Source organism: Homo sapiens, chromosome 11 (genome assembly GCF_000001405.40).
Source record: "Homo sapiens chromosome 11, GRCh38.p14 Primary Assembly".
NCBI classification, from domain to species: domain Eukaryota; kingdom Metazoa; phylum Chordata; class Mammalia; order Primates; family Hominidae; genus Homo; species Homo sapiens.
Genome location: NC_000011.10, coordinates 9,557,242 through 9,572,610, shown reverse-complemented (window position 1 = coordinate 9,572,610; position 15,369 = coordinate 9,557,242). Strand labels below are relative to the sequence as shown.

The 15,369-nt window shown below is 42.1% G+C and overlaps 3 annotated features.

Moving 5' to 3' along the window:
* Positions 3,545-3,614: a silencer, noted in NCBI's record as "silent region_3128". NCBI's record gives its function as "represses an Ori minimal core promoter by ATAC-STARR-seq in GM12878 lymphoblastoid cells {active_cell/tissue: GM12878}" and the evidence as "EXISTENCE:reporter gene assay evidence [ECO:0000049][PMID:35858748]".
* Positions 6,499-6,608: an enhancer, noted in NCBI's record as "active region_4409". NCBI's record gives its function as "activates an Ori minimal core promoter by ATAC-STARR-seq in GM12878 lymphoblastoid cells {active_cell/tissue: GM12878}" and the evidence as "EXISTENCE:reporter gene assay evidence [ECO:0000049][PMID:35858748]".
* Positions 8,758-9,257: an enhancer, noted in NCBI's record as "H3K27ac hESC enhancer chr11:9584901-9585400 (GRCh37/hg19 assembly coordinates)". NCBI's record gives its function as "activates a minimal SCP1, AML or CMV promoter by ChIP-STARR-seq in naive H9 embryonic stem cells {active_cell/tissue: H9 hESC(naive)}" and the evidence as "EXISTENCE:reporter gene assay evidence [ECO:0000049][PMID:30033119]".

The window sequence follows — 15,369 nt, the reverse complement described above, 5'->3', positions numbered from 1 at the left end:
CAACCTCCGCCTTTAGAGTTCAAGCGATTCTCATGCCTCAGCCACCCGAGTAGCTGGGATTACAGGCGGCTGCCACCACACCTGGCTAATTTTTGTATTTTTAGTAGAGACGAACTTCCCAATGTTGGCCAGGCTGGTCTCCAACTCCTGATCTCAAGTGATCCGCCCGCCTCGGCCTCTCAAAGTGCTGGAATTACAGACGTGAACCACCGCTCCCGGCCTCTTCCAGTTTTCTGTTGTAAACAACCCCGTGGTGTATATGCTTCCTTCTCCATGTTTTTTGTTTGGTTTGGTTTTTTTCGACACGGAGTCTCGCTCTGTCGCCCCAGGCTGGAGTGCAGTGGCGCGATCTCGGCTCACTGCAGCCCCCACCTCCCGGGTTCTCGGGTTCCAGCGATTCTCCTGTCTCCCGGGTAGCTGGTATTACAAGCACATACCAGGCCTGGCCAATTTTTGTATTTTTACAAAATGCAAAATACGGAGTTTCACCATGTTGGCAGGCTGGTCTCAAACTCCTGACCTCAGGTGATCTGCCCGCCTCGGCCTCCCAAAGTGCTAGGATTACAGGCGTGAGCCACCGCGCCTGGCCTTTTTAAAATACTCTTTTGGATACCTCCCTGGAGTTAGAATTCCTCAGTCAAAGGATATAAACTGGCAAACTCCCCCTCCAGAAACACAATACATTCTCACTAGCAGTGGATTAGAGCACACTCTGTGAATTCAGGACATCAGTGGATGTTCGTTGATGTGGTTTTGTTGTTTTGATTCATATTGTTGAACAGTTGTCATGGGTTTAATGATAATTTACATTTATCTCTATTGCCTATTTTTCTTATTGTTAGCACTTTATGCATATTAACACTTTGTCATATATGTTGTTCTAATGCTTTTCAAAGGCTAAATAAACTCAAGCTGAATTTTTCTTGAAACACACGGTAGTACTTAACACATCAAATCGGGAATTTCCTGAGATCACACAACTGAAGACACAGTGAAGGATCAACAGCTGTCTTTTCTCCTAACATTTGCTAACTGGTGTATAAATGTGTTTTTTATATGGTCATGCAAACTTAATTTTAAGCTCTTGGAGGACAAGAATTCTAGACTTGTATAAGGAGAGTTAGTCAATGATCCACAGTGGCCAAAGCCAAGGAGTGATTTTCAGAACCCTTGCTCCAACACTTCCCCTCCTGCCACTCCTTTTTTTTAAATTTTTATTTTTCGAGACAGGGTCTCACTCTGTCCACCCTGTCTCAAAGTGGAGTACAGTGGTGCAATCACGGCTCTGTAGCCTCGATCTCCCCAGGCTCAAGAGATCCTCCCACCTCACCCTCCCAAATAGCTGGGACTAATGATGTGTGCTACCACGCCCAGCTAATATTTGCATTTTTAGTAGAGACTCTGTTTCACCATGTTGCCCAGGCTGGTCTAGAACTCCTGGGCTCAAGCAATCTGCCCGTCTCCGTCTCCCAAAGTGCTGGAATTACAGGCATGAGCCACCATATTGCCCAGGCTGTGGGCCCCCTCCTGCCACTCCTGATGACAAATATAATTATTTGATATAATTGACATTTTCTCAATTTATTATGAAGCATAAATAAAAATAGAGAACCCTACTTTTATCGATCTGTAACATAAACTGCATGTGAAAATAGTGTGCTTTCTAAGTAAATGGGACTTTAAAGCCCTTTAGTTGCCTCTCCACAACTAGACTGATGCTCCTAAACTCCTCCTATGTAAGAATTCCGTATCTCTGTTCTCACGTCCCCTCCCTCACTCTTTGCTCTTTCACAACACCTGGCTTTATTTCCTTAGCAGGCTTATTTCTATCTCAAAGTACGTTGTTAGTTTATTACTATCTCCTTCTAGAAAAATAAGGTCCCCGAGGGTAGGGGACCCTTGTTTATTGCAGTATTCTAACGTGGATTAGGCGTTCACTCCCTTGTGAGTGATAAAAGAGCCCTTATTTAAATAATTGTTGGTTTATTCGCTTCCTAAATTGGCACATTTGCAGATAAGTTTGCCTATTTAAGATTTTGAATCGGGTGTGGTAGTTGTTCACACCTGCAATCCCAACACTTTGGGAGGTCAAGACAGGAGGATCACTTGAGGCCAGGAGTTCAAGACCAGCCTGGACAACATAGTGAGACCTCACCTCTACTAAAAATTTAAAAATTAGCTGGGCATGGTGTCACATGCCTGTGGTCCCAGCTACTCAGGAGGCTGAAGTGGGAGGATCCCTTGAGCCTGAGAGATGAAGGCTGCAGTGAGCTGTGATTGTGCCACTGCACTCCAGCCTAGGCAGCAGACCGAGAACTATCTCAGGAAAAAAAAAAAAAAATTGAACAGAGATCACCACTCTAGTACTCTATTTAATGCAAGATTGTAGAGGTAGCAGCCATCACACTTCCTATTTTTCCCCATGGTTTTTCCCCACTCCAGTAACAAAAACTTAAATGGTACAAAATTCTCCCACCTATCCCTTCAAATCCCAGCCCAGTTCCCCTTCCTGAAGGTAAACACTCTTAACAATGTTTTGTTTTGTTTTGTCAACTCCTACTTTGCCACCTGTCTGCGTCCCTAAATGGGAGGTCTTTGAAGTAGGCTAAGGCAGGCAGAAGGGCTTGGGTTGTGGATGGGAAGGGAAGAGTTCTTGGTCCACAGACCCAGGACTTTGAAGTCCTCACACAGAATCGAAGAGGTAAGTTCACAATAAATGTGTAGAATGATTGGGGGAAATAATTTTTTTTTTTTTTTTCCTTGAGACAAGGGTTTGCTCTATTGCCCAGGCTGGAGTGCAGTGGTGCGTTCACGGCTCACTGCAACCTCCCCTTCTGGGCTCAAGCAATTCTCCCACCTCAGCCTCTTGAGTAGCCAGGACTACAGGCAAGTGCCACTACACCTGGTGAATTTTTGTATTTTTTGTAGAGACCGGGTCTCACCATGTTGCCCAGGCTGGTCTTGAACTCCTGAGCTCAAGTGATCTGCCTACCTCAGCCTCTCACAGGGTTGGGATTACAGGTGTGAGCCACTGCACCTGGCTGAAGGAATTTTTTTTTTAAGTTGAAACCAAGACTCAGTGCTAGAGCCATTTCCTCTGTGAAGCCTTTCCTGACTCTCCATTCCCTACTCCAGACTTTCCACCGCACCCAGCACGGACTATGTAACACTCTTACTTTGTTTACTTGTCTGGTTTTCACACTGCCCAGGGCAGGGTCCAAACTGTGTTTGTCTTCAGAGCTCCAGCAACCAGCACTGTGCCTTGGCCCCTGAGAAAGTGCTTAATAAATGTTTCTAGAATAATTTAATGAAAATCCAGTGATCTTTAAAACAAAAGTGCCAAAATAACAAAACAAAACAAAAGTGAGAAACCCAGGCCCTGCCTCTTCAAGCTGAGAACATGGCACAATATTATGGTTTAACTGTAGCAACATCCTAACTGAAATTTTAAGTGACTGTTCTGATTTTTAAAATTTCACGCTCCTCTGAGTAAAGCACACACTGTACTGGAGAGATGGGTTACACCCGCCTGCCCCAGGCCGTATCTAATTCAAATTTCCAGTTCCTTTCTCCACCCAATGTTGTTTCTAACTAATGTTGCTAGGCAACTTTTGCAGAATCCACATGCTTGTGGTAATGTTGAAAGAACTGAGTAAAAATCTTGCCTCTAGCTTCTGGGATAACAAACCTAACCTGTTTATCCTCTTTAGATTCATGACTTCGCACGTAAAGGGCTTTAAAACTATTTTCAACCCATTCACCTTCCTTGGCAACAAAACAAGCAAGATTCTTCCCATGAAGATTTAAAACTGAGATTTCTAAATCACCTTCTCAAGTATTTTTAATACATATAGCACATGAATATGCATGCATATTCCTATTAACATGAGCCTTGCACTTTGAATGAAATCCTTCAGAACTAGGAACTAACTTTTCTCAGTGATGCAAAGCCTTTAGGAATGTTTCGTTAAGACTAGTCAGCCGTTAGCGAAAGCTGAATCTTTTCTATTAATATGCTCTTTATTCTGGAGAAATAATCAGTTTCTCTAAGGACCCTACTCTGATAGATTTCTAACTTTAAAAAAAAGACACATTAGTCAAATGTCAGTTTTTCACTTAAAAGACAAATAATACGCTTAAAGAGTTCAACTTTCTTCACCTTCCTTGTTATCTTTACCTTTCTCCTTATGCTTGTTCTCACAGCAAGTCTCAATTTATTTCAACCCAGCTCTGTTACCAGCTGCCTATTGGCCTCAGGAATACAAATCTCAGGCTAGAACGTGGTAGCTCCTAGATTGCTCCTGTTTGACTTCCCAGCTATAAATTAGATTTCTCTACTTCATCACGTGCCTTAATAACCTCTGATGGATGTGATTATTTGACCATTTCACCGCATGTTCATCAGCATACCCTGAGAGTACAGTACCGTCAAACTCAATTCTTCTCTAATTGTTCAGTGTTTTTGTTTTTGTTTTTGTTTTGAGACGGAGTCTCGCTCTGTCGCCCAGGCTGGAGTGCAGTGGCACGAGCTCAGCTCACTGCAAGCTCCGCCTCCCAGGTTCACGCCATTCTCCTGCCTCAGCCTCCCGAGTAGCTGGGACTACAGGGGCCCGCCACCATCCCTGGCTAATTTTTTGTATTTTTAGTAGAGACAGGGTTTCACCGTGTTAGCCAGGATGGTCTCAATCTCCTGACCTCGTGATCCGCCCGCCTCGGCCTCCCAAAGTGCTGGGATTACAGGCGTGAGCCTCCGCGCCTGGCCAATTGTTCAGTTTATTAAATGTGAGACTAGCATTATCTCTTGTGAATAGTGTTCAATAAATATAAGTGTGCTTTCTGGCTTGGCATGGTGGCTCATGCCTGTAATCTCAGCACTTTGGGAGGCCGAGGTAGGAGGATTCCTTGGGCGCAGGAGTTTGAGACCAGCCTGGGCAACATAGGGAGACTCCCTCTCTACAAAAAATTTAAAAAATTAGCCGGGCATGGTGCGCCTGTGGTCCCAGCTGCTCTGGAGGCTGAGGTGGGAGGATTGCTTGGGCCTGGGAGGTAGAGGCTGCAGTGAGCCGTGAGCACATCACTGCATTCCAGCCTAGGCAACAGAGCAACACCCTGTCTGGGGAAAAAAAAAAAAGTTATAAGTATGCTTTCAATTATAGCAATGTTGTTTGAGAAAAATTCATAGTTGTTAATGGCTTTATAGTCAGTAATTGCAATATGTGACTCCTGATGTCCCCAAAATTAATTTACTTAATATGGATGGGCTCAAGTTTATGCACAACCAGCTAGGAAGATCAAATCAGAACACAGTATCTATGTAATAAGAACTTGAGAAGCATAACCCAGGAAAAACAACCAGTTAAGAGCTTGTATTTATTTTAATAAAATAAACATTTCTTGTCGTGCCAAATTAATCTTTAAGGACTACTAACATGCAATTTCCATGCATCGTTCTGATATTTATTTAAGATAGATCAAGGGTAGATCATTATATCCTTTGGATATGGGTATATCAATTGTATGGATTCTATATAAAATGTCTGAAGATCTAAGATTTTCATTCAGGTTTTCCTTGGGGTCTCCAGCTAGGAAAGACCATGCTAGGGTACTTAAAGGTTGTATCTGTTCATGTATGAAACAGCTGTAACCAGCCTTATTTATGAAAGGAGCCCTTAGGCCTACTCCTAGTTATCTCAGCAGTTCTCAGCCTTACACAGGCCCCCTAATCTTGAAACACTTCATAGTCCACTGCAATAGGTCAGGCAGTGGTACTAACGCAAGACTTTTCCCAAGAGAAAATACCACTGACCATTTCATTCCTAGATAAGAGAGTAGTTCTCAACCAAGATATTTTAAAATTATAGCTCTCTGAAGCATTTAGCCAAAACATTAGCAAATAACCCCTTCCTATTTGCTATTTTATAATTCTTTTCTATTGGAATGGAACTGAATAGTCCCATTTTCTCCAATATTCCTTTTTTTATTTCCTTTACAGAGGCACAAAGGTTGCTGTTCTAATGTGGTCCCTCCGTTTGGGGTCCCTGACTTCCCGCAACACTGTTCTCTATATTTTTAATGAGTTTCAATAACTGAAAAGTTCACTTCACAGAAATGTCATAAACAGAGGGAACTGTGAGTGCCCAACAGAATGCAGGCACTTATTAAATATTCAGGTGATTGATTAATTGCCTCTCCTTTTGGGTTAGTGACATACACAGGAAATGACCTGAATGACCACAGGGACTGCCAGTTGTTTGCTGGCCACATTGTGATTATTTAAACTGGCTTCGTTCAGATTACTGCAGCACAAAAGACGTGATGACTCTTCTCCAGTGAGTCAAGGGGCCGTGTCTCATTAGGGGAGGGAAAGGAGGTAAGACAGACATCCCATGCTGGTCTTTTGTTAGCAACAGGAGCGTGTTTAGGTATTGCTGTGTTTTGATGACTCAGTGGTGAGTCAACTTTAAAGTTCCATAAAAGGCCTTGTTCAGCTCAGACAGGATTGAGAGATGACCTCATCCAGTATCTAGTTGGGTAGAGAGTAACCAGTTGTGTGTGACATGATAAGCCGATAAGCCGATTGGGAGTGTATACAAGAAAAAAAAAATTACTGGTAAGGATGAACTAGTTTCTAACTACAGAAATCAACTCTGCTTGGCAGTCCTCTATTGAGTGTCTACTACGTTCAAGCATCTTATCCTACCAGCTGCACATTTGCTTAATACAGGTCAGAATATGAGAAAGGCCCTAAGTGCTGCAAAGAGCTGGGGTGCCTTTGCAGGAGCTGGGAGAGGGGAGAATATTTTGGTGCCAACTATATGATAGGCACTGACCCAGATGCTTTACATACTTATTTAATCTTTACGGGAACTCTGTAAGAGAGTTATTTTTATTCACATTTCACAGATGAAAATGAAACACAGGTTAAAAAATGCCTTCATCATACAATCATAGAACTAGTATTACTGAGACTATATTTCTGAAACTTTATTTTTAATTTTAAAATTTAAAAAAAATTTTACATTTACCCATCCAATGACCTATCAATATTTTTTATTTTAGTATTATTTTTTTGAGACAGGGTCTTCATCACCCAGGCTGGAGTGCAGTGGCACAATCATGGCTCACTGCAGCCTCAACCTCCTGGGACCAAGCAATCTTCCCACCTCAGCCTCCTGAGTAGCTGGGACTACAGGCACATGCCACCATACCTGGCTAATTTAAAAACAATTTTTTTTTGTAGAGACGTGGCCTCACTATGTTGCCCAGACCAGTCTCAAACTCCAAGGGATCCTCCCACCTCAGCCTCTCAAAATGTGGGGATTACAGGTGTAAGCCACCATGCCCAGCCTTCTGAGACTTTATTGCTGCTGACTTAAAGCCTGGTTCTTCCTACCCCAGTAAGAAGGGCATAAGGTGAAGGGTGAAACAGGGAGATTTGATGAAGGCAGGGTCACACTGGACCCAGCTGGGAGGCCAGGCTAGTTGAGCAGTGTGATGTCTAGAGTCATCCTTCCAGGTATGCCGGCACACAACTTGATGGTGTGAATGTGGACAATGGGATCCAGGGGGAGTCAGACTTGTACCTTATTTTTTTGTTTCATCATAAAATCCAAATGTATTTTAAACTCTAAAATCAAGAGGAAAAATTACAAAGATTGATATCAGAAAGTAAAGTAAGGGATGAAGAAGTGGTAGAGGGTTGGAGGAAAGTGCTAGTTTAAAATAGTGAAATCAAGGAATGCTTTTCTGAGGAAGTGGCATTTGAGCAGGAACCTGAATGGAGTGAGAAAATCAGCCACAGAGAGATCTGGGGGAAAGTTTACAAAACCAAATATTGGCATTGTTTATTATACTCCATATTGGAAACCACCCAAATTTCCGTTAAATGCTAAAAAACTATAGCTTGCAAAATAATGAGCTGGAACTATATGTACAAAATGAAAAGATGTCTATAAGATAATGGAGAAAAGGGCCAGGTACAGTGGCTCACACCTGTAATCCCAGCACTTTGGGAGGCCAAGGCAGGTGGATCACTTTAGGTCAGGAGTTCTAGACCAGCCTGATCAACACGGTGAAACCCAGACCGTACTAAAAATACAAAAATTAGCCAGGTGTGGTGGTGCATGCCTGTAATCCCAGCTACTTGGGGGGCTGAGGTGAGAGAATCACCTGAACCCTGGAGGCGGAGGTTGCAATGAGCTGAGATTTTACCACTGCACTCCAGCTTGGGTGACAGAGCAAGACTGTGTCTCAAAAAACAAACAAAAACATATAATGGAGAACTGTATAATGATTCAATTAAAAACAAACAAACGAGAAAATTAACCTAAAGCAAACATATTTATCACAGGGAAAACATCTGAAGAAATACAAAAAATTGAAAATTGGGCTGGGCACGGTGGCTCACATCTGTAATGCCAGCACTTTGGGAGGCCAAGGCAGGTGGATCACTTGAGGTCAGGAGTTCCAGACCAGCCTGGCTAACATGGTGAAACCCTGTCTGTAACAAAAATACAAAAATTAGCTGGGTGTGGTGGTGCACGCCTGTAATTCCAGCTAGCTAGTCGAGAGGCTGAGGCACAAGAATCGCTTGAATCCGGGAGGTAGAGGTTGAAGTGAGCCAAGATCATGCCACTGCACTCCAGCCTGGGCGAAAGAGCTAGACTGTCTAAAAACAAAACAAAAATTGAAAATTGGATGGTTGGAAGCAAGATGGCTGAATGGAAGCCTCCATCAATCGTCATCCCTGCAGGAACACCAAACTGAATGATTTTCTACACAAAAAAGCACCATCATAAGAACCAAAAATCAGGTGAGCGATCATAGTGCCTGGTTTTAACTTCCTATCACTGAAAGAGCCACTGAAGAGGGTAGGAAATACAGTCTTGAATTGTACAGCCTTGACAGACCCTTCCCCCACTCCCCAGCAGCTGCTGCATGGCACAGAGAGAGAATCTGTGTGCTTCAGGGAGGGCAAGTGCAGCTATTGTGGGATTTTGCATTGGAACACAGTGCTGCCAACACTGGGCAGAACTCAACCGGTGCCCATAAGGGCAGCATTGGACCAGCCTTACCCAGAGGGGAATCACTCATCCCAGTGGTCAGGACTTGAGTTTTGGCAAGCCTTGCCACCACAGGCTAATGTCCTCTAGGGTCCTAAATAAACTTGGAAGGCTATCTAGGCCACAAGGACTGCAACTCCTAGGCAAGGCTTAGTCCTGTGTTGGGCCCAGAGCCAGTGGACTTGGGAGCCACACAGCCTAGTGAGACACTAGCTGGGGCAGTCAAGGGAGTACTTGTGCCACCCCTCCTTCAAGTTCAGGCAGTGCAGTTTGCAAATCCAAAAGAGACCCCTTCCTTCCACTTGAGGAGAGAGAAGAGTAAAGAAAACTTTGTCTTGCAACTTGGATACCAGCTCAGCCACATTAGGAAAGGGCGCCGGGTAGAGTTGTGAGGCCCCCATTCTAGAACCTAGTCCTAGATGACATTTCTAGACACAACCTGGGCCAGAAGGGAACCTGCTGCCTTGAAGGGAAGGACCCAGTCCTGGCAAGATTTATCACCTGCTAATTAAAGAACCCTATATAAGCAGCAGTGGTAACCAAGTAGTACATGCTGTGAGCCTTCAGTGAGACTGAGATGTGCCAGCTTCAGGTGTGACCCATCACATTCACAGCCAGTGCTGTGCTGGCTTCAGATCTGACTCAGCACAGGAGCAGGGGTGGTGGCCACAGGGGTGCTTGTTTAACCTCTCCCCCATCTCCAGGCAGCTCAGCACAGAGAGAGAGAGAGATGCTCTTTGTTTGGGAGAAAGTATGGGGCCAGGTGCAGTGGCTCATTCCTGTAATCTCAGCATTTTGGGAGGCTGAGGCAGGTGGATCACTTAAGGCCAGGAGTTCAAGACCAGCCTGGGCAACATAGCAAAAACCTGTCTCTACTAAAAATACAAAAATTAGCTAGGCATGGTGGCACATGCCTATAATTCCAGCTACTCAGGTGCCTGAGGCATGAGAATTGCTTGACCCCAGGAGGTGGAGGTGGCAGTGAGCCAAGATTGCACCACTGCACTCCACCCTGGGTGACAGAATGAGACCCTGAGAAAGAAAGAAAGATAGAAAGAAAGAGAGAGAGAGAGAGAAGGAAGGAAGGAAAGAAGGAAGGAAGGAAGAAAAAAAAGAAAAGAAAAGAAGGAATATATTGTATGAGAAAAGAATAAGAGTCTCTGCCTGATACTCCAGAGACTTCTTCCAGGCCTTATCCAAGGTAACCAAGGTGGTACCTCTATGAGCCTGCAAGAACCATGGCGTTACTGGGTTACATTGTGGGTTACCCACCAATGGCCCACTAATGACCAAAAGCTTAAATCACAACACTGAAGTCTCTTCAAATACCTGGAAAGCCTTCCAAAAAGGACAGGTACAAACAAGCCCAGATTGTGAAGGATGCAATAAATACCTAGCTCTTCAATGCCCAGACACTGATAAACATCCGCAAGCATCAAGACCATCCAGGGAAATAGACACCAGGGATTAATCCCAGAGAGAGAGAGAGAAATTTGACCTTTCAGACACAGAATTCAAAATAGCTGTCTTGAAGAAACTCAAAGAAATTCAAGATAACACAGAGAAGGAATTCAGAATCCATTAGATAAATTTAACAAAGAAATAGAAATAATTAAAAAGAATTAAGCAGAAATCCTAGAGTTGAAAAATGCAATTGACATACTGAAGAACTCATCAGAGTCTTTTAATAGCAGAATTGGTCAAGCAGAAGAGTTAGTGAACTTGGGCTGTTTGAAAATACAAAGTCAGAGGAGACAAAAGAAAAAAGAAAAAAAAGAATGAAGCATGCCTACAAGATCTAGAAAACAGCCTCAAAAGGGCAAATTCTAAGAGTTATTGGCTTTAAAGAGGAGGTAGAGAGAGAGGTGGGGTTCATTCAAAGGAATAATAATAGATAACTTTCCAAACCTAGAGAAAGATATCAATATTCAAGGATAAGAAGGTTATGGAACACCAAGCAGGTTTAACCCAAAGAAGACTACTTCAAGGCATTTAATATTCAGACTCCCAAAGGTCAAGGATAAAGAAAGGATTCTAAAACCAGCAAGAGAAAAGAAACAAATAACATACAATGGAGCTCCAATAGGTCTGGCAGCAGACTTCTCGATGGAAACCTTACAGGTCAGGAGAGAGTGGCATGACAATATTTAAAATGCTGAAGGAAAAAAAAACTTTTACCCTAGAATAGTATTACTATATCTGATGAAAATATCCTTCAAACGTGAAGGAGAAGTAAAGACTTTCCTGGACAAGCAAAAGCTGAAGGATTTCATCAACACAAGATCTATCCTACAAGAAATGCTAAAAAGAGTTCTTCAATCTGAAAGAAAATGATGTTAATGAGCAACAAGAAATCATCTGGGCCAAGGTGGGAGAATTGCTTGAACCCAAGAGTTTGAGGTCAGCCTGGGCAATGCAGTGAGACTCCACCTCTACAAAAAAAAAAATTGTTTTAATTGGCTGGGCATAGAGGCTCATGCCTGTGATCCCAGCACTTTGGGAGGCTGAGGCAGGAGGATCGCTTGAGCCTGGGAGGCTACAGTGAGCTATAATCAAGCAACTGGACTGTAGCCTGGGTGACAAAGTGAGACCTTGTCAAAAAAAATTAAAAAAAAAAAAATCATCTGAAGGTACAAAACTTACTGGTAATAATAAGTACTACACAGAAAAACACAGACTATTCTAACACTGTCATTGTGGTATGTAAACTACTCATATTTTAAGTAGAAAAACAAAAAGACGAACCAATCAAAAATAATAATTACAGGCTGGGTGCAGTGGCTCACACTTGTAATCCTAGCACTTTGGGAGTCCGAGGTGGGCGGATCACGAGGTCAGGAGATGGAGACTAACCTGGTTAACACGGTGAAACCCCATCTCTACTAAAAATACAAAAATTAGCTGGGCATGGTGGCACATGCCTATAATCCCAGCTACTCGGGAGCCTGAGGCAGGAGAATCACTTGAACCCAGGAGGCAGAGTTTGCAGCGAGCTGAGATCGTGCCACTGCACTTCAGCCTGGGCAACAGAGCAAGACTCCATCTCAAAATAATAATAATAATAATAATAATAATAATAATAATAATTACAACAACTTTTCAAGACATAGTACAATAAGATAGAAACAACAAAAAATTAAAATGTGGGGAGACAAAGTTAAAGTTTGTATTAGTTTTTATTAGTTTCCTTTTTGTTTATTAGTTAGTTTACACAATTAGTGTTACATTGTCATCAGTTTAAAATAATGGGTTATAAGATATTATTTGCAAGCCTCATGGTAACCTCAAATCTAAAAATATACAATGGATACACAAAAAATAAAAAACAAGAAATTAAAACATACCACCAGAGAAAATCACCTTCACTAAAAGGAAGACAGGAAGGAAGGAAAGAAGGAAGAGAAGACCAAAAACAACCAGAAGACAAATAACAAAATGGCAGGAGTAAGTCCTTACTTATCAATAATAACATTGAATGTAAATGGACTAAGCTCTCTAATCAAAAGATGCAGAGTGGCTGAATGGATTTTTTTTAAAAAAGACTCAATGATCTGTTGCCTACAAGAAACACACTTCACCTATAAAGACACACATAAACTGAAAATAAAGGGATGGAAAAAGATGCTTTATGCAGATGGAAACTAAAAAAAGAGCAGAAGTAGCTGTGCTTATAACAGACAAAACAGATTTCAAGACAAAATCAAGGCTGGGTGTGGTGGCTCACACCTGTAATCCCAGCACTTTGGGAGGCCGAGGCGGGCAGATCACCTGAGGTCAGGAGTTCGAGACCAGCCTGGCCAACATAGTGAAACCCCATCTCTACTAAAAATACAAAAATTAGCCTGGCATGGTGGCACACACCTGTAATCCCAGCTACTCAGGAGGCTGAGGCAGGAAAACTGCTTGAACCCAGGAGGTGGAGGTTGCAGTGAGCTGAGATTGCACCACTGCACTCCAACCTGGGTGACAGAGTGAGACTCCGTCTCAAGAAAAAAAGACAAAAACTATAAAAAGAGACAAAGAAGGTCATTACATAATGATAAAGGGGTCAATTCAGCAAGAGAATATAACAATTGTAAATATATATGCACCCAACACTGAAGCACCCAGATATATAAAGCAAATATTATTAGAGATAAAGAGAGAGACAGACTCCACTACAATAATAGCACAAGATTTCAACACCCCACTTTCAGCATTGGACAGATCATCCAGACAGAAAATCAACAAAGAAACATCAGACTTAATCTGCACTATGGATCAAATGGACCTAATAGATATTTATAGGACATTTCACACAATGGTCACAGAATAGACATTCTTCTCCTCAGCACATGGATCATTCCCAAGGACAGATCATATGTGAGGCCACAAAACAAGTCTTAAAGCATAAAAAAAAAAAATAATATCAAGGATCTTCTCTGACCACAATGAAATAAAACTAGAAATCAATAACGAGGAATTTTAGAAACTATACAAACACATGAAAATTAAACAATATGCTCCTGAATAACCAGTGGGTGAACTAAGAAATTAATAAGAAAATTTAAAAATTTCTTGAAACAATAATGGAAACACAACATATCAAAACCTGTGGGATACAGTGAAAGCAGTACTAAGAGGGAAGTTTATGGCTATAAGTGCCTACATCAAAAAAGATAAAAAGTCTGGGTGTAGTCGCTCATGCCTGTAACTCCAGCACTTTGGGAGGCCAAGCTGAGCAGATTGTTTGAGCTCAGGAGTTTGAGACCAGCCTGGGCAACATGGCAAAACCCCATCTCTACTAAAAATACCAAAAAAATTAGCCAGGCACGGTGGCACATGTCTATAGTCCCAGCTACTTGGGCGGCTGAGGCATGCGAATTGCTTGGACCTGGGAGGCGGAGGTTGCAGTGAGCCAAGATTGGCCACTGCGCTCCGGCCTGGGTGACTGAGTGAGACTCTGTCTCAAACAAACAAATGAACAAACATACAAACTTCAGGTAAACAACCTAATGGTGTCTCTTAAAGAACTAGAAAAGCAAGCACAAACCAAACCCAAAGTCAGTAGAAGAAAAGAAATAATAAAGACCAGAGCAGAAATAAATGAAATTGAAACAAATAATACAAAGGATGAAAACAAAAAAATCATTTTTTGAAAAGACAAATAAGGCCGGGCGTGATGGCTCACACCTGTAATCCCAGCACTTTGGGAGGCTGAGGTGGGGGGGATCACAAGGTCAGGAGATCGAAACCACGGTGAAACCCCGTCTCTACTAAAAAATACAAAAAATTAGCTGGGCCTGGTGGTGGGCGCCTGTAGTCCCAGCTACTCGGGAGGCTGAGGCAGGAGAATGGCGTGAACCTGGGAGGCGGGGCTTGCAGTGAGCCAAGATCGTGCCACTGCACTCCAGCCTGGGTGACAGAGCGAGACTCCGTCTCAAAAAAAAAAAGAAAGAAAGAAAAGATAAACAAAATGACAAACCTTTAGCCAGACTAAGAAAAAAAGAGAGAAGACCGAAATAAATAAAATGAGAGGTTTTGAAAAGGGAGACGTTACAACTGATACCAAGAAATTCAAAGGATCTTAGGTACTACTATGAGTAAGTATATGCCAACAAATTGGAAAACCTAGAAAAAAATAGATAAATTTCTAGATACATGAAACCTACTGAGTTGAACCATGAAGAAATTCAAAACTTTAACAGACCAATAGTAAGTAACAATTTCAAAGCCAAAATAAAAAGTCTGCTGGCAAAGAATAGCCTGGGGCTCAATAGTTTCACTGATGAATTTTACCAAACATTTAAATAACTAATACCAATCCTACTCAAACTATTCAAAAAAATTGAGGAGGAGGGAATACTTTCAAACTCATTCCATGAGGCCATTATTACCCTGATAGCAAAACCAGACAAAGACACATCAAAAAAAAAAAAAAAAAAGAAAGAAAGAAAAGAAAAAAGAAAGAAAACAACAGGCCAATATCCCTGATGAACATTGATGCAAAAATCCTCAACCAAATACTATTAGGTTGCTGCAAAAGTAATTGCGGTTTCAGACTGTAAATTTTAAATCATTATAACTAGGCTCAAACACATCTTTATTAATCAAAACAGGAAACATTACAATCAACACATTTTTGCCAGTGAGAAATCTTTATTCCTATGGTGTAAAAATCCATGCTTCAGGATTCAACAAACTCTTGGAAATCATTTTCTGCATCCTGCTGGTTGTGGAAGCGTTTTCCGTACAAAAAGTTGTTGAGATGCTTGTAGAAGTGGTAGTCAGTTGGTGAGAGGTCAGGTGAGTATGGCAGATGAGGCAA